The sequence below is a fragment of the Homo sapiens genome, chromosome 1, assembly GCF_000001405.40.
Source record: "Homo sapiens chromosome 1, GRCh38.p14 Primary Assembly".
NCBI lineage: Eukaryota > Metazoa > Chordata > Mammalia > Primates > Hominidae > Homo > Homo sapiens.
This window is the reverse complement of record NC_000001.11, coordinates 204,517,935-204,541,715: the sequence shown is the minus strand read 5'-3', so window position 1 is coordinate 204,541,715 and position 23,781 is coordinate 204,517,935. Positions and strand designations below refer to the sequence as shown.

Here is a 23,781-nt window from a genome sequence, read left to right as displayed (position 1 = left end):
AGCCAAATTCTTGAAATGGTGCCATATTAAAGTTATTCTTCCCTACTCGAGCTCTACAACTTATGAAGGAAATGAAAATAGGTCATTCTTTCCACAAATAAAAATTCTGTCCCTTCTACCTATAGGTCTTCCTGAAAATACTATTATTTATTCCCAAATTTTCATCACAAACTACATATCCCCCCTTGAGTTGGCTATTCTTAAATACCTGCCCTTGCCCCCAACTTTTTTTTGAGACAGGGCACCACTTTGTTGCCCAGGCTGGAGTGCAGTGACATGATATTGATTCACTGCAACCTCCGCTCACTGCAATCTCCACCTCTTGGGCTCAAGTGATCCTTCCATCTCAGCCTCCTGAGTAGCTGGGACGACTGGTGCGCACCATCATGCCCAGCTAATTTTCTACTGGGCTGATTTTTTGTAGAGACGAGGTCTCGCTATGTTACCCAAGCTGGTCTCGAACTCTTGAGCTCAAGTAATGCCCCTGCCTCAGCCTCCCAAAGTGCTGGGATTACAGGCACGAGCTACCATGCCCAGCCTTGATTTTCTAACAGTGCCCAGCCATGTTCTTATATATCTTAAAATTGCCTTTTGAGTACAAAATAAGCAAGGATTTGCATTAAGGAATAAAATTACACATTTAATATCATATAGACTGGAATAGTTACAAAGTAACTAGGTAGACCAAAATTCAGTTTATGCTCAAATGCAATGTAAAGAAAACAATCCAGCATGATAAACTTATTCAAATTTAAGCTTTTAAAATAACTTCAGCAGCCAAAGTTTCTCAGACATAACTAGAGGCTTAACCTGCCATTGGTCCACATGCCTAGACTAGAAGCCATCATGCCATAAAATGACTTTGGGGAATTTATGATTTTACACATCTTCGCCAACACAAAAACAGAAACAAAAAACTAATTTTAGAAAGTGTTTTTTTTGTTTGTTTTTTGAGACAAAGTCTTGCTCTTGTCCCCCAGGCTGGAGGGCAATGGCGCGATCTCGGCTCACTGCAACCTCTGCCTCCCGGGTTCAAGCAATTATCCTGCCTCAGCCTCCCGAGTAGCTGGGATTACAGGCGCCTGCCACCATGTCCGGCTAATTTTTGTATTTTTAATATAGACAGTGTTTCACCATGTTGACCAGGCTGGTCTCGAACTCCTGACCTCAGGTGATCCGCCTGCCTCAGCCTCCCAAAGTGCTAGGATTACAAGCATGAGCCACCATGCCCAGCCTAGAAAGTGTTTTTTAGAGTTTTGGGGAAAATATGGATGAACTCATTAGCCTGACCACAACATATCTAATGGAATGGCAAAGATCTGGTGACTACCATCCAAGGGCAAAAACAATTTTTCTGGATTTGGAATATTTGCATATACATAATGAGATATCCTGGGGATGGGACCCAAGTTTCCCTTTTGTTTTTTTTTTGAGACAGAGTCTCGCTCTGTCGCCCAGGCTGGAGTGCAGTGGCACAATCTCGGCTCACTGCTAGCTCCACCTCCTGGGTTCACGCAATTCTCCTGCCTCAGCCTCCCGGGTAGCTGGGACTACGGGCGCCCGCCACCACACCCAGCTAATTTTTTGTATTTTTTTTAAGTAGAGACAGGATTTCACCGTGTTGGCCAGGATGGTCTCAATCTCCTGACCTCGTGATCCGCCCACCTCAGCCTCCCAAAGTGCTGGGATTACAGGCGTGAGCCACCGCGCCCGGCTAATGGGACCCAAGTTTTCATGTACACCTTGTACACATAGCCTGAAGACAGTTTTTTGTAATATTTTAAATAATTCCGTGCATGAAACTAAGTTTTCACTGCAACCTGTCATATGAGGTCAGGTGTTAAATTTTCTACTTGTGGTGTCATGTGAAAAAGTTTTCAGAGGCTGGGTGTGGTGGCTCATGCCTATAATCCCAGCACTTTGGGAGGCCAAGGCGGGTGGATCACGAGGTCATGACATCAACCCATCCTGGTCAACATGGTAAAACCCCGTCTCTACTAAGAATACAAAAATTAGCTGGGCGTAGTGGTGCACGCCTGTAATCCCAGCTACTTAGGAGGCTGAGGCAGGAGAATCGCTTGAACACGGGAGGTGGAGGTTGTTGCAGTGAGCTGAGACTGTGCCACTGCACTCCAGCCTGGTGACAGAGCAAGACCCTGTCTCAAAAAAAAAAAAACAAAACAAAACAAAAAAAAAAAACAAGTTTTCAGATTTTGGATGCTCAACTTATTCTAAGATCCTTTGAAAGGGTCTTGCACCATCCTAGTACTCATGAGTTGCTAAAAGAGCATTACAATCTTTCAAATTGAGAATGCTCAACATTTCAAATTTAGAGTGCTCAACTTATACCAGGCTTCTTATATCTCATTCTTGGCTTTGTGATTAAGTATATTATGTCATCTTTGCAAACTTCAAAATGTGTAAAAATTGGGCCAGGTGCAGTGGCTCACGCCTGTAATCCCAGCACTTTAGGAGGCTGAGGCGGGTAGACCATTTGAGGCCAGTAGTTCGAGACCAGCCTGGCCAACATGGCAAAACCCCAAAATTAGCCAGGCGTAGTGGCATGCACCTGTAATCCCAGCACTTTGGGAGGCCAAGGTAGGCAGATCACCTGAGGTCGGGAGTTGGAGACCAGCCTAACCAACGTGGGGAAACCCCATCTCTACTAAAAATACAAAATTAGCCGGGTGTGGTGGCGTGCGCCTGTAATCCCAGCTACTCCAGAGGCTGAGGCAGGAGAATGGCTTGAACCTGGGAGGCGGAGGCTGCGGTGAGCTGAGATCACACCATTGCACTCAGCCCAGGTAACAAGAATGAGACTCCGTCTCAAAAAAAAAAAAAAAAAAGCCAGGCGTGGTGGCACACACCTGTAATCTCAGCTACTCAGGAGGCTGAGGCACAAGAATCACTTGAACCAAGGAGGTGGAGGTCGCAGTGAGCTGAGATCGCACTGCTGCACTCCAACCTGGGTGACCCAGGGAAACTCTGACTCCAAAAAAAAAAAAAAAAGTATGAAAATTGGCCTTTGCCTCAAGTAGATAAATCAAAATAAAAATTCTAACCAAATCATATACATACAAGAATACTAAGATTGAAAAGTCTAAGGCAGCTGAATTCATGTATGTAGAAAATTCACCTGGTAGCAAATCAATAAATGTGTAGCTATTTTCTAGTAGCATGCTAGCTCATGGAAGGGTCTTGCACCATCCTAGTACTCACGGGTTGCTAAAATAGCACTACCTCTTCAAAGCTAACAATGGTAGTAACTAGGCTGATAAAAAGGTTTTCAGAAAAGGATGAGAAATTGTGACATATCCCTCTCCTACTTCACATACGGAGAGATTAAAAATAAAAAGGTTGGAAGAGGAAGAGAACAAAAGTCTATATAGCCTTAATCCAAAACATACCTTCTCTAGAATGTATGCATTTATGCTCTGAGGTAGGCAGTGTGGGGATATCGTCTTCTGTAGTTCTTTTTCTGGAAGTGGAACTTTCCTCTGCACTTTGCTGAAAGAAGGGAAAGGTGTCCATCAGTGCAGTAGAAATAACTGAGACCAGGGGATGTAGCAGTTCCATTCTGGCTCACCAGTTAGTGTGCAACACAATGGGTTACACACAAGAAAGAGAACTCAAGTTCACAACAGTCATCAAATAAAGGCAACACCTCTCCTCAACCCACTGTGAGCAAAGCTAGAAGAATCCCAAACCTGGGGGGAAAAAAAACCTCTGCACAAAGGCCAAAATCTACTGTTAAAAACAGGCTATCTGTATAAACCCTCCAGTCTACTACAAAATTAGGCATAATTCAGAAAACATATGAAACCCTCGCCACGTACCAAGATGACTATAAAGTTTCCCCAGGTTTGGGGAAGCTTTAGGAAATGGCCTGACATGAACTTAACTGCAACACGCCTATTAAAATCTAATAAAGCAATATCCTCAAACACACACACACAGGTACACACAAACCCAAAGAAAAATGCAACTGGAAGAACTGAAGATCAGAAGTGCTACATCCCAAAGAAAGGTTCAGAGACTGGAACTCTGTTATGGGCAGAACAGAGAAGGTTCACTCTGTCCCTGGTCTGTGAACTCCCAAGAACCTTTCTTATTAAATTCTTACCACATTCAGGGAAAGGTCTTGGGAGTCCAAGATCCATAGGTACAGAGAAGGGGCCACTCTGTACAACAAAAGAAGTCACCGTGTGGTGATTTTACCTTCAGTTGGTCTTGACTTGGAATATCCATACTGTGATCCTGTGCGAGAGCGAGAGTCTGAGCAGCATCTGGATAGCAAGTAAAACAAAAGGAAAACCTTCCCTGGTAATAACCATTCTTTCCACACAAAAAGGACCTCAGCAAACAACCCGGGAGCCAGGTTTAGTCCCTAGAAATGTACTTCTCCATGTTGGCTGGACAAAGCTCTCATTTGCAAGGGAAAAATCAAAATTGATAAAAATGACAAAGACCAAGACAGGCCATATCCAAAATATATTACCAAAATATAATCGGGAAAAAAAACAGTGAAAAATAGCTAAAAATGTTCTTCCATATCAAGCTTTTAAATTTTTATATGAAAACTGGTTCCAAGCAGGACATAATGGAGTCTATTTTTGTCATCTCTTCCTATATATTACCAAATTCGCCTAACTCACAAACAAAAGGAAAAGAGTGTATGGCTTTTTACATTTAATTTCAACTTTCAAGTGTTAAGTCATACAGGGTTATGGGATCTTGAAATCTGGATTTTTCCCCGTTTGCTTCATAAAACAATAGCATCTTCATCTAAAGCGACATTCTAAGTGTCAAGGATAATTTTATGGTTTAAATTCCCATTACCATCACCTGTATATAAATTAATTTTTTTCATTGTCTTATTTTTCCCAGTTACTATAAACATTTCCTAAGAAGCAGCAGCAAATAAAGTTTTTCTCAAGGCCAATAAAAAGAACCAAGGAAAACAACACAGTACAGAGAAATTCTTAGATATTACATTAATCTAAAAGAGAAATGCATTCCAAGGACTTACAAAGAAATTTTTCAAGTAGAACAAAAGACAAAAACTTGGCTACACGAAAAGATCAAGCTGCAAACAATTTAATAATCTGGACTATTCATTATTTGAGGCTATGTGAATGAGATAGACCCAAAATAAGTCTACTGTGGGTCAGGTTCACCAACCACTACCAGGTTCAGAGATAAAATATGGAAAATATCATCACCATCTGATAAAGGCTGCTAGAGGAAGGATACAGATCCTACAACTGATCTGTCAATGCGGTTCTATTGAAAAAAGCAAACATTTTCAAAATTCTAATTATAAAAAACATTATTTCCAGAAACATTTTTGTGGACAAACGGAGACAACAAAAAGTTTGAGAGACAGCATTTTCTGACCACAGTGGTCTTCAAAGCGAAGTTGGACTAACATATAATGCAGATGGAGCAATTTTTTTGTTTGTTTGAGACGGAGTCTTGCTCTGTCACCCTGGCTGGAGAGCAGTGGCGCAATCTCGGCTCACTAAAACCTCTACCTCCCTGGCTCAAGTGATTCTCCTGCCTCAGCCTCCCAAGTAGCTAGGATTATAGGCGCACGCCTGACTAATTTTTGTATTTTTAGTAGAGACAGGATTTTATCATCTTGGCCAGGCTGGTCTCAAACTCCTGACTTTGTGATCCACCCGCCTCGGCCTCCCAAAGTGCTGGGATTACAGGCATGAGCCACCGCACAGGCCAGGAGCAATTCTTTAATAAAGCAATCCTATTACTGTCATTTATATTTCCAAAGCCTTACTACCTTACTTAGGTTAAAACAGTTACAAGCAAAAATAAATTATCTGGTGAAACCACAATGTAAAAAAGAAGTTTTAAAATTAGCCGGGTGTGGTGGCTCACGCCTGTAATCCCAGAACTTTGGGAGGTCGAGGTGTGTGGATCACTTGAGTCCAGGAGTTTGAGACCAGCCTGGGCAACCCACCAGCCTGGTGAAACCTCATCTCTACTAAAATCACAAAAATTAGCCGGGCTTGGTGGTGCGCACCTGTAATCCCAGCTACTCGGGAGGCTGAGGCAGGAGATCACCTGAACCCAGGAGGCAGAGGTTGCAGTGAGCCGAGATCGCACCACTGCACTCCAGCCTAGTCGACAAAGCGAGACTCAGTCTCAAAAATTAATAAACACACACAAAGTTAGTCATATTTATTTCATTTGTATACATGGGAAAATTTGGAGAGACAATTTAGAAAGAACTACCATTTTAGGCTGGGTGCAGTGGCTCACGCCTGTAATCCCAGTACTTTAGGAGGCCAAGGCGGGCAGATCACGAGGTCAGGAGATCGAGACCATCCTGGCTAACACGGTGAAACCCCGTCTCTACTAAAAATATAAAAAATTAGCCAGGCATGATGGCGGGCGCCTGTAGTCCCAGCTACTCAGGAGGCTGAGGCAGGAGAACTGCGTGAACCCGGGAGGTGGAGGCTGCAGTGAGCCAAAATCATGCCACTGCACTCCAGCCTAGGCGACAGAGCGAGACTCCATCTCAAAAAAAAAAAAAAAAAAGAACTACCATTTTAAACAATGGCATCTTCTTGACCAAAATGAAAAGTTTAACCCATTTGCAAAGGTATAAAATTATATGAAAAGCACTTCTCTCATTTGTCCTTTCAAATAAAACACAAGCAACCCAAATCACAAAAATCAACAGAGATGGCCATCCACAAGCACCAATGCAATTGCAAGTCAGAACAGATAACCAATCAGAATTACTTGGGGCAATTTTCTGGTTTTGATCATCATACTATTATTATGTAAGATGTTACCATTTGGGGACTCTGGATAAAGGGTATAGAGAAACTCTATGCAATACTTTTGCAACTTTATTAAGTCTGAAATTTTTTCAAAACGACAAGTTAAAAAATAAAAATGGGCCACGCATGGTGGCTCACGCCTGTCATCCCAACACTTTGGGAGGCCGAAGAAGGGGGATCGCTTGAGTCCTGGAGTTCAAGACCAGCCTAAGCAACAAGCAGAAAACCTGTACCTACAAAAAAATATACAAAAAACTAGCCAGGTGTGGTGGCATACTCCTGTAGTCCCAGCTACTGAGGAGGCTGAGGTGGGAGGACTGCTTGTGCCACGGAGGCGGAGGTTGCAGTGAGCCGAGATCTTGCCACTGCACTCTAGCCTGAGCAACAGAGAGATCCTGTCTCAAACAAAACAAAACAAAACCAACAAAATATTCTTTATATGGCATGTTAAATTCTGCAGAGAAAGTACAAGAAAGAAAATGAGAGAAAAAAGGAGAATTATAGATATTCAGAAAACAGATCAATCCAAAAACAAATTTTAATGAAAAAGTAGATCAGCAATTATAAAATCCTCCATGTATCTCAAACCTTTAGTGACTATCGCAGGAAAGCCATGCTATTTTACAAGTGATTGAATTTCAATAAAGCTGCCGTATCATTTGCAGGATCTTCACTCTCAAATTTACAGCTATGTGAAGTGGGCATATGACTCAATGAGACTAACAGGCTTCAAAATTCAGTAAGTTCAAAATCATGTTTCGGTATGACAGCAATGTCTCTTTCTCTGCCTTTAAAGAATAAATCTTTATTAGTAATTGATTTAGGTCTGGGGGCGGTGGCTCATGCCTGTAATCCCAACACCTCGGGAGGCTGAAGTGGAAGAATCACTTGAGGCCAGGAGTTCAAGACCAACCTGAGCAACAAAGCAAGACCCCATTTCTACAAAAAAACAAAATTAGCCAGGTGCAGTGCAGTGCCATGCACCTATAGTCCTAGCTATTTGGGAGGCTGAGACAGGAAGATGAGTTAAGCCCAGGAGGTAAAGGCTGCAGTGAACTATGATTGCACCACTGCATTCCAGCCTGAGTGACAGAGCAAGACGCTCTACATTTAAAAAAAAAAAAAAAGAAAAAGAAAAGAAAGAAAGAAAAAGATAAAAAGGAATGGATTCTTCTCAACCTACTTATTTCAGTAAACTATCAAAAGACAGTGCAAAAGACAGTTCAGTAAACTATCAAAAGACAGTGGCAGTGGCCAAGTGCAGTGGTTCACACGCATAATCCCAGGACTCTGGGAGGCCAAAGTGGGTGGACTGCTTGAGTCCAGGAGCTCAAGATCAGCCTGAGCAACACAGCAAAACCCTGTCTCTACTAAAAATACAAAAAATTAGCCAGGCATGGTGGCATGTGCCTATAATCCCAGCTACTCGGGAGGCTGAGGTGGGAGAATCACCTGAGCCCGAGAGGTCCAGGCTGCAGTGAGCTGAGATAGTGCCACTGCACTCCAGCCTGGGCAACCTGAGAAGAAAAAAAGATGGTCAATCTAAAAAGATTACTAACTTGGGCTTTCTTCAAAGGGCAATGTTAATATGAAGCTCACAAAAGGGCTTTATGTAGTAGTGGAGAGGGAAAAAGTTTCATTATTTGGAAATGGCTATGTTCAGTCTGTCCAGTTTATTTACCTATCTCTTACAGACCACCATTTTGGAGACTCCAGACTCCAGTACAGCCAGTTTCCTATACATACCTAATAGTTAAAGAGCAGTATTTAGAAGGTCTAGAATCAAGCAAAGGGTTAGACAAATTGGCATTCAGATAAGAGATGGCTAAAGCCATTAGGTAAAAGGTTCTTGAGTGACCTGTGTAACAGATGGATCAGACTGATACCACCTGAGCCCACAGATTATTAACATGACTGACTAAAATAGACAGGCAGACCTTACATGACTCTGATGTGATTAAACAGAAGTACAAAGCATTACCTATAAAGCTTTCTTGGCAAAAAATTTAAACTTGAATTTATTCAAGCACTACCAGTTTACCAAAAATAGAGAGGGTAAAGAAACACATTAAACAAAATCACAAGGATACAATCTGCCAACTCTAGAGCGTGGGAAATTCTACAGAACAAATGACCCATTTCTTCAACACGTAAATGACATGAAAACAAAAGGAAAGTTAAGTTTTATAGATTAAAGACACTTATGAGACATATCAACCAAAGGCAATGTGTGGACTTTGGATCCTAATTCAAGTAAGACAAAAATACAAGGTATTTTTGAGATAACTGGGGGAAATGATACATAAACTGGCTATGAAATAGGATTATGGAATTACATGTTAAATTTGTTATGTGTAATAATGATATTGAATGTTTGGAGAAAAAAGTCCTTATCTGCTAGAGATTTTTAAAAGTGTGTCTAGATGAAGCAATATGACAAAACGTTAACAGTACGTCTAGAAAGTGGAAATCCTTCTACTCTATGTTTGATTTTTCAGTAAAAAGTTAATAACATAACATTCTGTGTGACAGGTAGTATGTATTTCTCCCAGTCATGCCAAAGATAGCATTCCATTTCCACCTTCATCTTCTTTGTTTTCCCATCATTTGCCCCCTTGAACTCAAAGCTGTGATACAGACTGAAGAAATATGATGTGACATACCTGTAGTAGCAGTGGCTAAAGTGACAAGATTCTTTCTTAGCATATCATAGAGAGGGCTGTTAAAGAGAGAAGATAAAAAATTAACAACCCCAAATGCCACTATGAAGATATCAGTGGTTTGCCGTTAAATATTAAATGTATTTCTGATGTTATCTCCCAAGTCTCTCTGTAAGGCATACAAAGGCAGAATCTTTTTCCCAGAACAGTTTTTAATTATTTAAATATTAAGATGTTAATGCCCAGGCCCCTGTGTTACTCTGCCCCCATTAAAAAACTGATTAATTTACATTTTATTTCATTAGCGAACAGTAATCCAAGTGGGGAAATCTCTTTTGGAAACTATTCCTTCCTTCCAGGACTGAAGTTTCACATTGTAATTGGAAAGTGGGGGTGGAGGGGAGTCTTTTTTTTTTGGAGACGGAGTTTTGCTATTATTGCCCAGGCTGGAGTGCCATGGCACAATCTCAGCTCACTGCAATCTCTGCCTCCCGGACTCAGGCAATTCTCCTGCCTCAGCCTCCCTACTAGCTAGGATTATAGGCGCCCGCCACCACGCCCAGCTAATTTTTTGTATTTTTAGTAGAGACGGCGTTTCACTTATGTTGGCCAGGCTGGTCTTGAACTCCTGAAGTCAGGTGATCCACCCACCTCAGCCTCCCAAAGTGCTGGAATTACAGGCTTGAGCCACCACACCCAGCTAAGGGAAGTCTTAGTGTAAGACAGAATGAGCTCAGAAGCAGCAGTCATCAAAGCTATAGAGAAAGAGAGCTTCTAAATTACTAATTAGCTTTTGACTATATAAGCTAATAACTTACACCCCATGCAGCTGGAGAAAAGTAACAGGTCAGGTTAGCCCTACTGTGATTCTTACCAGGCTCATCATCAACCTCTAACTGCCCAGCAATTCTACATTTCTCTCATCTGCTCACTCTTCCTCCCTCTCCAACAATTATTTCACAAAATTCTAACCTAGTCACATCAAGCTTCCTCCTACCCAGGCCTTTACACATGGTGTTCAATCAACCTCAAACTCTCTGATTGACTACTTAATTATCTATCTTTCAGCTTTTGGCTGAAATTTCACTTCCTCAAAAGAACATTTTCTTGACCTCTAACACTCTAAATCCCACCCACTCCCTGCTTCATGTATCTCTTTTCTGTAGCACTTGCCATAGTGTAGGTTTACCATGAATTAGTGTGATTATTTGACTAAGATGGGCAAGAGCATCTACTGACTCACTACTCTGTATACTCCATAAAATCAGACTGTGTGTCGCTCATTACCATATTCTCAGTGCCTCATAGGCTACCTAACATATGTAGGCTCTTACATATTTGTTGAGTGAAGTAATAAATATTAATAACCCATAGAAATTAAGTGGCTAGGTATAAGCACCCAAAAAGATACGCAAGCCCTCACTGTTTTTACCTTGGGTCTTTCACGGAGAAGCTCTGACGTCCCAGTAGTTCTCCCAAAAGATCTCCACCACAATATACCATATGCTGCTCCTGCTGATCATAAAGTTGCTTCACCATTATGTACTGACCTAAATAGTGCATGACCTGCATGGAATAAAATACCATGTTGTGATCTGTCCAGCTGCTACCAAAAACACAAATTCATTAGAGGAGGTAAGGTAAGTTAGTTTGCTAAAGAAAGAAATAACATATTTACAAGACTGTCAAAGTTTGTGTAAGGGGTCCTACAACAGGAAAGCCGCTCCCAACTACTAGGTCCATCTACTCATTGTCTTTCTGACAATTAACAGACCCAGACTTTTCAGCACAGAAATGAACTGATCTGACAATGAGAAAAAGCAGTGAATTTACCTAGTATCCTCTTAAAAATTTTCTCAGACGTCCAAATAAAGAAGTCTATTCTATTACTAGAAGTAATTTGCCTGGATTATAAAAATATTTTCCCAGTCCAGGGCACATAAACGACTTTAGGCTTTTGATATGTGTTCACATAATAATTCTTTTTGGCAAATGAAGTACAATGTTTAATAAGAGCCATCAGCATTGTAAGTGGACAAAACATAAAATCCAAGTGTTTATCAAATAAAAATTTAGTCGGCTGAAGTGGTTCACACCTGTAATCCCAGCACTTTGGGAGGCCAAGGCAGGCAAATTGCTTGAACCCAGGAGTTTGATACCAGCCTGGGCAACATGGCAAAACCTGTCTCTACATAACATACAAAACTTAGCCAGGTGTGGTGAGGCACGCTTGTAGTCCCAGCTACTAGGAAGGCTGAGGCGGGAGGATCACTTGAACCTGGGAAGCGGAGGTTGCAGTGAGCTGAGATACCACCACTGCATTCCAGCATGGGTGACAGAGTAAGACCCTGGCTCTAAATAAATAAATAATAAAAATCAGGAAATTCCCTTTATGCAATAGATAGAGTCAAGGTTCATAACAGAAAGCTCATCGTGTAAACTCAGGCAAACTCTGCCATGCTAAATGAAGGAGATGGCATAATTCATCATAACCACTATAATGATATAAAAATCCAGACTTTACCCCTTGCCTGTGTGTGACGTCAGAATTGCCACAGCCAGCTATCTGTATGGGCGGGGCTGCCCTGGAGATGCAGGGCAAGCGCCAGGAACCCCTCCGGGTAGCTACTACCTTGGACCCCCCCCAGTAGTGGAGGGCAGTATGGCAGCGTGCTACCCCCTGGTGGTGGCTATGGGGGTCCTGCCCCTGGAGGGCCTTATGGACCACCAGCTGGTAGAGGGCCCTATGGACACCTCAATCCTGGGATGTTCCCCTCTGGAACTCCAGGAGGACCAAATGATGGTACAGCTCCAGGGGGCCCCTATGGTCAGCCACCTCCAAATTCCTACGGTGCCCAGCAGCCCAGGCCTCATGGACAGGGTGGCTCCCCTCCCAATATGGATGAGGCCTACTCCTGGTTCCAGTCGGTGACTCTGATCACAGTGGCTTTATCTCCATGAAGGAGGTGAAGCAGGCTCTGGTCAACTGCAACTGGTCCTTGTTCAATGATGAGACCTGCCTCATGATGATAAACATGTTTGACAAGACCTAATCAGGCCACATAAATGTCTACGGCTTCTCAGCCCTGTGGAAATTCATCCAGCAGTGGAAGCAGCTCTTCCAGCAGTTATGACTGGGACAACTCAGGCTCCATTAGCTACACAGAGCTGCAGCAAGCTCTGTCCCAAATGGGCTACAACCTGAGCCCCCAGTTCACCCAGCTACTGGTCTCCAGCTACTGCCCACGCTCTGTCAATCCTGCCAGACAGCTTGATTGCTTCATCCAGGTGTGCACCCAGCTGCAGATGCCGACAGAGGCCTTCCGGGAGAAGGACACAGCTGTACAAGGCAACATTCGGCTCAGCTTCAAGGACGTCGTCACCATGACAGCTCGGATGCTATGACCCAACCCATCTGTGGAGAGTGGAGTGCACCAGGGACCTTTCCTGGCTTCCTAGAGTGACAGAAGTACGTGGACCTCTCTCTTCTTTTCCTGTCCCTCTAGAAGAACATTCTCCCTTGCTTGATGCAACACTGTTCCAAAAGAGGGTTGAGAGTCCTGCATCACAGCCACCAAATAGTGAGGACCAGGGCTGAGGCCACACAGGTAGGGGCCTGATGAAGGAGAGGATGAAAGCTGAATGTCCCGACGGCCATGAGCAGTTGAGTGGCACAGCCTGGCACCAGACGCAGGAGATTCTGGTCCTTGTAATGGAGTTAGTGTCCAGTCAGCTGAGCTCCACCCTGATGCCAGTGGCGAGTGTTCACTGGCCTGTTACCATTAGCACCTGTGTTCCCTCACCAGGCCATCCTGTCACATGAGCCCATTTTCTCCAAAGTGGAATCTGACCAAGCATGAGAGAGATTTGCCCCTGGGACCAGTGGCTTGGATTCCATCACACCCATAAATCCTTGGGTATTAACTTCTAGCTGCCTGGGGCTGGCCCTGCTCAGACAAATCTGTTCCCTGGGCATCTTTGGCCAGGCTACTGCCTCCGCAGCTGGGATCCCTCACTTGCCTGCCACGCTCTGCTCGGCTTCCATCTCCAGGGGACAGTGGTCACCTCTCCTTGCCAATACTTTTTTTAATTTGCATTTTTTTCATTTGGGGCCAAAAGTTCAGTGAAATTGTAAGCTTCAATAAAAGGATAAAACTAAAAAAAAAAAAAAAAAATTCCAGACTTTAATAAGTTTGGGGAAAAAAAGGTCTTACGTGTCAAATTTTATACTCCAAAACGATGTGCTTAATTTAAAATCGTAAAAGTAATATAGGTATTCTAAAAAATCAGAAATGCCTCCAGATTTGTCTCCTTGAGAAGTGTAATGGTTCTGGAGTGTGGCAGTGTTGATAGGTGTGAAGGTTTTAAGTTCGAAAAAAAAAAAAGCCTGATAATTTTGTTTCTTCTCTTTAGGAAGGGTTAGATATCTACCCCACCAAATGAAAGCAGTTCCCAACATTAACATTTTAATACTGAGTCTTTTCCACTTAAAGAATACAAATTGTTTTTTAAAAAACTTCAGAAGCTAAATAAGTTATTTAAATGCATGTGTTTAAAATAACTCACAGTGCTCAGAAGAGTGTCTGACACTTTTTTTTTTTTTTTTGAGATGGAGTTTCACTCTTGTTGCCCAGGATGGAGTTCAATGGCACAATCTTGGCTCACCGCAACCTCCGCCTCCCAGGTTCAAGAAATTCTCCTGCCTCAGCCTCCCAAGTAGCTGGGATTACAACCATGCCAAGCTAGTTTTGTATTTTTAGTAGAGATGGGGTTTCTCCATGTTGGTCAGGCTGGTCTCGAACTCCTGACCTCAGGTGATCTGCCCACCTCAGCCTCGCAAAGTGCTGGGATTACAGGCGTGAGCCACCATATCTGACACATTTATAATAAAAACTACTGCATTTAATTCCTGCCTCAAAATACAGCCTGTAAATCAGACAGTGTCTTTTTTTTCTGAGACAGGGTCTCTCATTCTATCAACCAAGCTGGAGTGCACCTCATTGCAACCTTCACCTTCTGGGTTCAAGCGATCCTCCCACTTCAGCCTCCCATGTAGCTGCTGGGACTAAACGAGCAGACCACCATGCCCGCCCAATTTTTGTATTTTTTTTTTTTTTTTTAGAGACAGGGTTTCATCATGTTGCCCAGGCTGGTCTCAAAATCCTGGGTTCATGCAATCCCTCCACCTCAGCCTCCCAAAATACTGGGATTGCAGGCGTGAGCTATGGTGCCAGGCCCAGTGTCTTTTTAATCTTTACTTGCTCTGCATTTTAACTCTACGATCAATGAATTCATGGTTCATCTTATGTTTATCTTATAACACACTTCAAAAGAAAGGAAATATGATGTTCAACCTAACAGTCTTTAAAACAGAGTATAAGTTGCCCCTCTGATACCTCAGGAGTAGAACTTCCTTTCTTAGGCCTGATTTCAAAACTACATATTCACTGGCTTCTACTTCTCAACTGTTCTTAAAACTGAGAATTTGGCCAGGCGCGGTGGCTCATGCCTGTAATCCCAGCACTTTGGGAGGCCAAGGCGGATGGATCATGAGGTCAGGAGACTGAGACCATCCTGGCTAACACGGTGAAACCCCATCTCTACTAAAAATACAAAAAATTAGCCGGGCGTGGCAGCAGGCACCTGTAATCCCAGCTACTCGGGAGGCTGAGGCAGGAGAATGGCGTGAACCCAGGAGGCGGAGCTTGCAGTGATCTGAGATCGCACCACTGCACTCCAGCCTGGGCAAAAGAGGGAGACTCCATCTCAAAAAAAAAAAAAACAAAAAAAATGAGAATTTTATTTGATGGCTTACCTCTTTAACAGTGAACATTTCACCTTGCGCACCTGCTGCATGCAAAATCTTCAAAAGCGGCAGTTTTGGTCGTACCTGATATAAACATAAAATAAATGTGCTATTTACATTTCAAGTAGGTTTCTGAAACTATGGAACAAGAGAACCTCTTTAAACAGCTCCCCCCGCTTTTGTTTTTTGAGGCAAGGTCTTGCTCTGTCGCCTTGGCTGGAGTGCAGTGGTGTGATCACAGGTCACTGCAGCCTCAACCTCCCAGACTCAACTGATCCTCCCACTTCAGCCTCCAGAGTAGCTGGGACTACAGGTGCACGCCACCATATCCAGGTAATTTTTGTATTTTTTTGTAGAGAGGGGGTTTCACCATGTTTCCCTGGCTGTTCTCAAACCCCTGGGCTCAAGAGACCTGCCTACCTCCGCCTCCCGAAGTGCTGGGATTATAGGCATGACCCACCTCGCCCAGCACAACCCCCACCTCCCCTACTTTTTTTAAAAAAGAGACAAGGTCTCACTCTCTTGCCCAGCCTGGGGTGCACTGGTTGTGATCATAATTCACTGCAGCTTTGAACTCCTGGGCTCAAGTGATATCCCGCCTCAGGCTCCCAAGTAGCTAGAACTAAAGGCACACCCCACTGCATCTAGCTAATTTTTTCTTTTAGAAATGTTTTGTAGAGATACAGGTCTCACTATGTTGCCAAGGCTGGTCTCAAACACCTGGCTTCAAGTAAGCTTCCTGCCTTGACTTCTCAAAGTGCTGGGATTACAGTCATGAGACAGCTAAACTTTTTAAAAATTAAAAAAAAAAAAAACCAAAAAACTAGAAATACCGAAAATGATTTACCTGATTGATTTGTCCAGGAGAGATCCTGCAAGCACTGTCAGATGTTGAACACTGAGCAGAGGTGGAAAATGATGTCATTTTGGTAGTGAAGAAACTGCAGTCTGTTGGTAAAACTAAATAGAAAAAAAAATTTATAACATCTATTCTAATGCAGAAAATTCCCTATTTAGCATTCACACAAAGGCAACCAGCAGAAGTAAAAGACACATATGACACATATAATGGAGCACCGTACACAAATGCTGTATACCCTTGCTGAGGTTCTGCATATCTTCTGACTACTTTCTAGTTCTGATTTAATTAAGAGTAAGAATCGTCCAAGCTTCTCTCAGGTGAAGGCTGAAACAGTAACAGTTTCAGGCACGCTCCAACCTCCAACTGATGTTAATCAGTAAACTGTTTTAGCTGAAAGTCAAATCATTATCTCCCCAATGGTTATCAGGTAGAGCACTCTCTAGATGCAAGACTGGGGATTTACCAAGGTAAGTCACAGGTTTTAAGATTCCAACAGGACTTCTAGGAAAACCTCTACAACATGTTGGAACATGTCTTGACAAAGGACCATAGAAAGTTAACTAAGAGTCAACATTTTAAGTACCAGTTAAAACAGCTTGTAAATGTACCAACCCCAGAAAAAAACACAGCAATTACAAACCTACAAAATGGGTTAAACCGAGATGGACATATACCATCAAAGAAAAGATGTAGCATGAAGTGAAATACAGAGTAAAGTTCAATGAAAATCTTTCACCTACCTTTTATCCTTAAAAAAACAAAAGCTACAGAGAAGGAAGATAGATTGTTTATTTATTTATTTATTTTGAGACACAGTCTCGCTGTCCCCCAGGCTGAAGCGCAATGGCGCAATCTCGGCTCACTGTAACCTCTGCTTCCCAGGTTCAAGCGATTCTCCTGCCTCAGCCTCCTGAGTAGCTGGGATTACAGGCACACGCCACCACGCCCAGCTCATTATTGTATTTTTAGTAGAGACGGGGTTTCACCCTGTTGGTCAGGCTGGTCTCAAATTCCTGACCTCGTGATCCGCCCACCTCAGCCTCCCAAAGTGCTGGGATTACAGGCGTGAGCCACCATGCCCAGCCGGAAAATAGATTTTTAAATAAACTTAAGTTAACCTTCATTTATGCCTTTTTCTAACAAAAGGCAACAATTATTAAAACTGATGACTAACAAGCCACATCAGGGAAAGGGTAAATGGCGACTAGAATAGGCCAGGTGCAGTGGCTCACGCCTGTAATCCTAACAGTTTGGGAGACTAAGATGGGCAGATCACCTGAGGTCAGGAGTTTGAGATGTAGGATTTAATAAATTCCTCTTCAAAGGTTTTAGCCTGTAAATTGTTAAGTACAATGAGTTCTGAGATGCTCTCCAAAAAACCAATGTATCTGTATGTTCAGCTCCCCTGTTCTTTGTTCTTCATTTAAAACTTTAAAAGTTTAACTTCCTCATTCTCTTCATCTCCTTGCCCCTCGTTTCAGTAAACAACCCCCTCCTAGCTTCTATCACCTGCTCCATCCTGAGTCACTCCTGGTCACCTCCCTTGACCTGAGTCATCCTGAGTCACCTGTTCTGTAACTGTTCTTCCCGCCATACTACTCGCCCAGCCACTCCAGCTCATACCCCTGCTCTCTTTAAAATAGCCCATCAGTATTAGCTTAGACTGTGCGGTCCAACCCTAGCCAATACGGGAACAACACAGAAGTAGGGGCTACCTGCGTCAGGGATAAGAACCCCTTCCCCTCCCTTGTTCAGGTGTGCTCTCACCATTGCTCCATCCGTGAGATGCACCCTTCCATAGAAGTAAAATTGCCTTGCTGAGAAAATTAAATTTATGTTTGAGTGATATTCATTTGCAGCTTCGAAAATTTATTTCTAACAGAGGCCAGACTAGGCAACAGGGCAAAACCCTGTCTCTACTAAAAATACAACAACTAGCTGGGCATGGCACGAGCCTGCAGTCCCAACTACTAAGGAAGCTGAGGCATGAGAATCACCTGAACTGGCAAGGTGGAGGTTGCAGTGAGCCAAGACTGTGCCACTGCACTCCAGCCTGGGTGACAAAGCGATACCCTGTCGCAAAAAAAAAAAAAAAAAAAAAAAAAAAATTTTTTTTAGGTGGAGTCTCGCTCTGTCGCCCAGGCTGGAGTGCAGTGGCATGATCTCGGCTCACTGCAAGCTCCGCCTCCTGGGTTCACACCATTCTCCTGCCTCAGCCTCCCGAGTAGCTGGGACTACAGGCGCCCACCACCACGCCCAGCTAATTTTGTGTATTTAGTAGAGACGGGGTTTCACCATGTTAGCCAGGATGGTCTTGATCTCCTGACCTCGTGATCCGCCTGCCTCAGCCTCCCAAAGTGCTGGGATTACAGGCATGAGCCACCACGTCTGGACAAAAAAAAATTTTTTTAAGACTATCAGCCGGGCACGCTGGCCCATGCCTGTAATCCCAGCACTTTGGGAGGCTGAGGAAGGTGGATCACCTGAGGTCAGGAGTTCAACACCAGCCTGGCCAACATGGTGAAACCCCGTCTCTACTAAAGCTCCAAAAATTAGGCGAGCGTGGTGGCACATGCATGTAATCCCAGCTACTCAGGAGGCTGAGGCAGGAGAATCACTTGAACCTGGGAGGCGGAGGTTGCAGTGAGCTGAGATCGCACCATTGCACTCCAACCTGGGTTACAAGAGTGAAACTCCATCTCAAAAAAAAAAAAAAAAGACAATCAGTAAATACACTGGCTGAAGATAACAAGATCCCTCATGCTTCTGAAAAGGCTTATAGCTGTAATCAAGTATAAATTCCTCCCTCTCCCATTACCTTACTTTGCTATAAAATAAGTCAAATAGGAAACAAGCACAATTTAAAATTCAGAAGTGGGCCAGGCATGGTGGCTCACGCCTATAATCTCAGCACTTTGGGATTGTACTCCCCAGATGAGGCAGGCAGATCATGAGGTCAAGAGATCAAGACTATCCTGGCCAAAATGGTGAAACCGTCTCTACTAAAAATACAAAAATTAGCCAGGTGTGGTGGCACACGCCTGTAGTCCCAACTACTCGGGAGGCTGAGACAGGAGAATCGCCTGAACTTGGGAAGCGGAGGTTGCAGTGAGCCGAGATCGTGCCACTGCACTACAGCCTGGTGACAGAGCAAGATTGTTTCAAAAAAAAAAAAAAAATTTAAAACCTGGCTTTTAATGGGTGGCTATTGATCTCATCACCTACTTCCTCATTTGCTTTTTTTGTGTGTGTGTGATGGAGTCTCACTCTGTCACTCAGGCTGGAGTGCAGTGGCACAATCACAGCTCACTGCAGCCTTTCAACCTCCTGGGCTCAAGCAGTCCTCCCACCTCAGCCTCCCAAGTAGTTGGGACTACAGGTGCATGCCACCATGCCCAGCTAATTTATTTTTTGTAGAGACGGGGTCTTGCTATGTTGCCCAGGCTGGTCTCAAACTCCTGGGCTCAAGTGATCCTCCTGCTTCAGCCTCCCAAAGTGCTGTAATCCCTGGGATTACAGGCATGGGCCACCACTCCTAGCCTGCCCTCTAATTCTTATCCTTCTTTTTGTCTATGCTCAAATGACAGTTTGTCAACAAGGCCTCATATGAACACCCATTTTTAAAACTAAAACTCCCAACCGCTTGTATTCCCTATCTCCTTCCCTGCTTTATTTTTCCCTACCAACCTTTTTACCAACCAAAACACTACATATTTTAATTATTTATTATGTAAAATATAAGCTACAAGTGGACAGGAATTTGTAACTGTCTATTTATACATTTCCAGTGTCTAAATCTGACAACTACATACATGGTAGAGCAACATGGTAGATAGAAACATTAATTATAATGTGCAGACCGTTTCCAAAAATGGCTCCCAATGAACCACGCTCCCTAACTGGCCCTATGACTTAATAAATAGAATGCAGCAGGTGATAATGTGACAATTCCAGGCCTGGCAGGCTCATGTTTTGTACTTTTGGAGGTGCTTGAAATCTGGCTACTCTACTGGAGACTACACAAAAAGGCTACAAGGAGAGGGAGGTGCAGTTGCCCAGCTGAGCCCAGACTCTTAGCCATACCCTCCAAAGCACCACACATCTTCCAGCCCCAGTTGCCACCTGACTACAACAAAGCACTTACTCAACGGTCTCGAGGTGTCCTTAAAAAAAAGAAAGAAAACAAAACAAAGCATCACACACGTTCCAGCCTCAGCTGCACCTGACTTAACAGCTGCATGACAAACCACAAAACCACAAGAACTATCCAACTCAGCCTATCATCCCACTGAATGAAAAATAAATAAAATGACTGTTTCAACTCACTAAGTTTTGGGGTGGTTTATTCCATAGCATTAGATAATTGAAACAAATGGTAAGGACTCATCAAGCCTATTATGTACCAGGCATACATATAAACCCATTTAATACCAAAACAGCCCTATTATGTAGCTATTATCCTTATTTTACAGATCAGGAAAGAGAAACAGAAGTTATTTGTCCAAGATCACCCAATGAGTAAGTTGTTGGAGTCAAGATTTCAAACTCAGACAAGCACTAACATCCCCGTTTAGCAGCATTTTTTCCCATTAGACCTCAAGTACACAGAATTAATCATAACTCTTTTATTCAAGACATATGCTGATTATTCATCCACACATGGCCCATTTTACTTATTTTTACCTTTTTATTTTCATAATTTTTTTGAGACAGGGTATTGTTCTGTCACCCAGGCTGGAGTACAGTGGCACAAACATAGCTCACTGCCACCTCGACCTCCTGGGCTCAAGTAATCCTCCCACCTCAGTCTCCTGATTATCTGGGACTACAGGCATGCGCCACCATTCCTGGCTAATTTTTTTATTTTTTGTAGAGACAGGATTTTGCTATGTTGCCCAGGCTAGTCTCAAACTCTTGGCCTCAAGTGATTCTCTCAACGAAAGTGTTGGGATTACAGGCATGAGCCACCACACCTGGCCTGGATTATTTTTAACGCAATAATCTTCCACAAACTAAGACTCTGATCATAACCTATATTTAACGATAATATCCCCCATCCCATTTTGCTGCCTTCCTGCAATAATAATCATCCTGAACCCTATTGTTTTCATTTCCCTTGCTTTCCTTTTTATACATTTTACTGCATCAAAATGGATTCCTAAAAAGTATTTTTAGTTTAGTTGCTCTTAATTATTAAAAAAAAAAAAAAGCAGGGATGTTGCATGTAATTTGGGAAATTTTGTTCCACTAACATAGATTAATTCCTACTGTCATATCAAAATTCATTTTTTTTTTTTTTTTTTTGAGATGGAGTCTCGCTCTGTCGCACAGGCTGGAGTGCAGTGGCGAGATCTCCCCTCACTGCAGGCTCCACCCCCCGGGGTTCATGCCATTCTTCTGCCTCAGCCTCCCGCGTAGCTGGGACTACAGGCGTCCACCACCTCGCCTGGCTAATTTTTTGTATTTTTAGTAGAGACGGGGTTTCACCATGTTAGCCAGGATGGTCTCGATCTCCTGACCTCGTGATCCGCCCGCCTCGGCCTCCCAAAGTGCTGGGATTACAGGCATAAGCCACCGCGCCCAGCCTAAAATGGTAGTTCTTTCTTATCTCTTAGTTTTTCGTTTATATTTTTCTCTTTCTTTGTTCTAGATTTTCTCCTTCTAGAATTCTAATTCATTCCTCAGTTGTATCCGTTCTGTTATTTATTCCATCTGTGATTCCATAACATTACAGATGGAATAAATTACAGAATAGATATAGATGTTTTGAGACAAGGTCTCACTCTGTCGCCCAGGCTGGACTGCAGTGCCGTGATCATGGCTTACTGCAACCTCAACCTCCCCAGCTCAAGCAAGCCTCCCACCTTAGCCTCTGGAGTAGCTGGGACTACAGGCGTGTACCACCTAATCCAGCTAGTTTTTTTAATGTTCCCCAGGCTAGTCTCAAATTCTGAGCTAAAGCAATCCTTTTCAGCCTCCCAAAGTGCTGGGATTACAGGCATGAGCCACCATGCCAGGCCAATGTTCTTTAATCCAACCACTGTATTTTTCTTTTTCATATACATATATTTTTTGAGACGGAGTTTCGCTCTTGTTGCCCAGGTTGGAGTGCAATGGAGCGATCCTGGTCCACCGCAACCTCCACCTCCTGGGTTCAAACGATTCTCCTGCCTCAGCCTCCCGAGTAGCTAGGATTACAGGCATGCACCATCACGCCCAGCTAACTTTAACTTTATATTTTTAGTAGAGACGCGGTTTCTTTTTGTTGGTCAGGCTGGTCTCGAACTCCCAACCAGGTGATCCGCCCACCTTGGCCCAGCCTGCCAAAAGCATTTTAAAAAGTAAAAAAATCCTATAGTGTCAGGCCCTGCTCAACAGCTTGCTATTGCTGTAAAGATAAACACGTGGTCTATCCCCTCAGCACATTTTCACTCTTATCTTGCACTGTTTAGTCGTATCTTGAGCCTCAGCCACCCTGATCTTTTAGTTTCTCAAACAGGGCCTTTGCACAAATCGTCCCTTCATTTGGAGCACTGTGAGTTTTGTACAAAACTGATTCATCCTAAACCTTCAAGTCTCAGGTTAAATGTCACCTCTTCAACAGTCATCACGAGATTCCAGGCCAGAAGCAGTGGCTCACACCTGTAATCCCAGCACTTTGGGAGGCCAAGGCAGGCAGATTGAGGCCAGGAGTTCAAGACCAGCCTGGCCAACATAATGAAAACCTCTCTCTACTGAAAATACAAAAATTAGCTGGGCGTGGTGGCACAACGCCTGTAATCCAGCTACTTGCGTGGCTGCGGCAGAAGAATAGCTTGAACCCAGAAGGCAGAGGTTGCAGTGAGCCAAGATCATACCACTTCACTCCAGTGGCAGGGGTAGGGGATGCTAAAGCCATCTGAGTGAAAGGTTGGGGTGGAAAGAAAACACGTGGAGTAGGCTGACCATTCCACCATCCCCAACCTTATCACTAAAAGAGGGTCATTCACACACCATATACTACTTGATTATGAAGCAACAAGAAACTAGCACAACACCTATTAAGTATTCCTGACCAAAAGATAAATAATCCAAATCTAGACCTACCTACTAACTGCAAGTTACTAGGGAAAATGGAGAGCAAGCAGTTAATAAGTCAAATCCAGAACGTAGGTGTTCTACAGGACCTGGGACGGCAGGGAAGATTAAAGTGGGAAGATTAAACTGGGAAGATTAAATCTTTAATTAAAGATTAACGATTGTTATAGAATCTTAAAAAACCAACTGCAGCCGGTGGCCTGTGCCTGTAGTCCCAGCTATTCCGGAGGGCTGAGGCAGGAGGATCCCTAGAGTCCAGGAGTTTCAGGCTGTAGTGTGCAATGATCACACCTGTGAATAGCCACTGCACTGCAGCCTGAGCACACAGTGAGACCTCATCTCTTTTTTTGAGACAGGCTCTCGCGCTGTCGCCTAAGCTAGAGTGCAGTAGCTCCATCCCGGCTTGCTGCAGCCTTTACCTCCTGGGATCAAGCAATCCTCCCACCTCAGTCTCTTGGGTAGCTGGGACTGGAAGCTCGCTCTATGACACTGATTTTTTTATTTTTTGCAGAGATGGGGCTCAGTTTGTTGCCTAGGCTGGTGTCGAACTCCGAGACTCAAGCAAACCTG

At 43.5% G+C, this 23,781-nt stretch overlaps 1 protein-coding gene and 1 pseudogene across 16 annotated transcripts in view, besides 1 other annotated feature; one reads left to right on the top strand and one right to left on the bottom strand.

The window, feature by feature from the left end:
* The window catches only part of MDM4 (MDM4 regulator of p53), a 41,715-nt gene that overhangs the window by 16,405 nt on the left and 1,529 nt on the right, over nt 1-23,781 (bottom strand). For 4 of the 16 annotated variants that reach the window (XM_024447114.2, XM_047420951.1, NM_002393.5 and 1 more), the window contains exons 2-7: nt 16,120-16,232; nt 15,282-15,356; nt 10,899-11,032; nt 9,470-9,525; nt 4,219-4,286; nt 3,408-3,507 (exon numbers count right to left, since the gene is read on the bottom strand). In XM_024447114.2, coding sequence (XP_024302882.1) covers nt 3,408-3,507; nt 4,219-4,286; nt 9,470-9,525; nt 10,899-11,032; nt 15,282-15,356; nt 16,120-16,197 — 511 coding nt within the window. In that variant the 5' untranslated portion in view covers nt 16,198-16,232. Of the gene's footprint in view, nt 1-3,407; nt 3,508-4,218; nt 4,287-9,469; nt 9,526-10,898; nt 11,033-15,281; nt 15,357-16,119; nt 16,233-16,369; nt 16,500-23,220; nt 23,244-23,781 lie in introns of those variants that run through there. The other 12 variants (XM_017001311.2, XM_017001312.2, XM_017001313.2 and 9 more) reach the window with 10 other exon arrangements.
* On the top strand, nt 12,009-13,623 carry LOC100291628 (penta-EF-hand domain containing 1 pseudogene; annotated as a pseudogene).
* Nucleotides 16,124-17,323: an enhancer, noted in NCBI's record as "MED14-independent group 3 enhancer chr1:204493521-204494720 (GRCh37/hg19 assembly coordinates)". NCBI's record gives its function as "activates an origin of replication core promoter dependent on BRD2, BRD4, P300/CBP and CDK7 cofactors, and independent of MED14, by STARR-seq in HCT116 cells {active_cell/tissue: HCT116}" and the evidence as "EXISTENCE:reporter gene assay evidence [ECO:0000049][PMID:35650434]".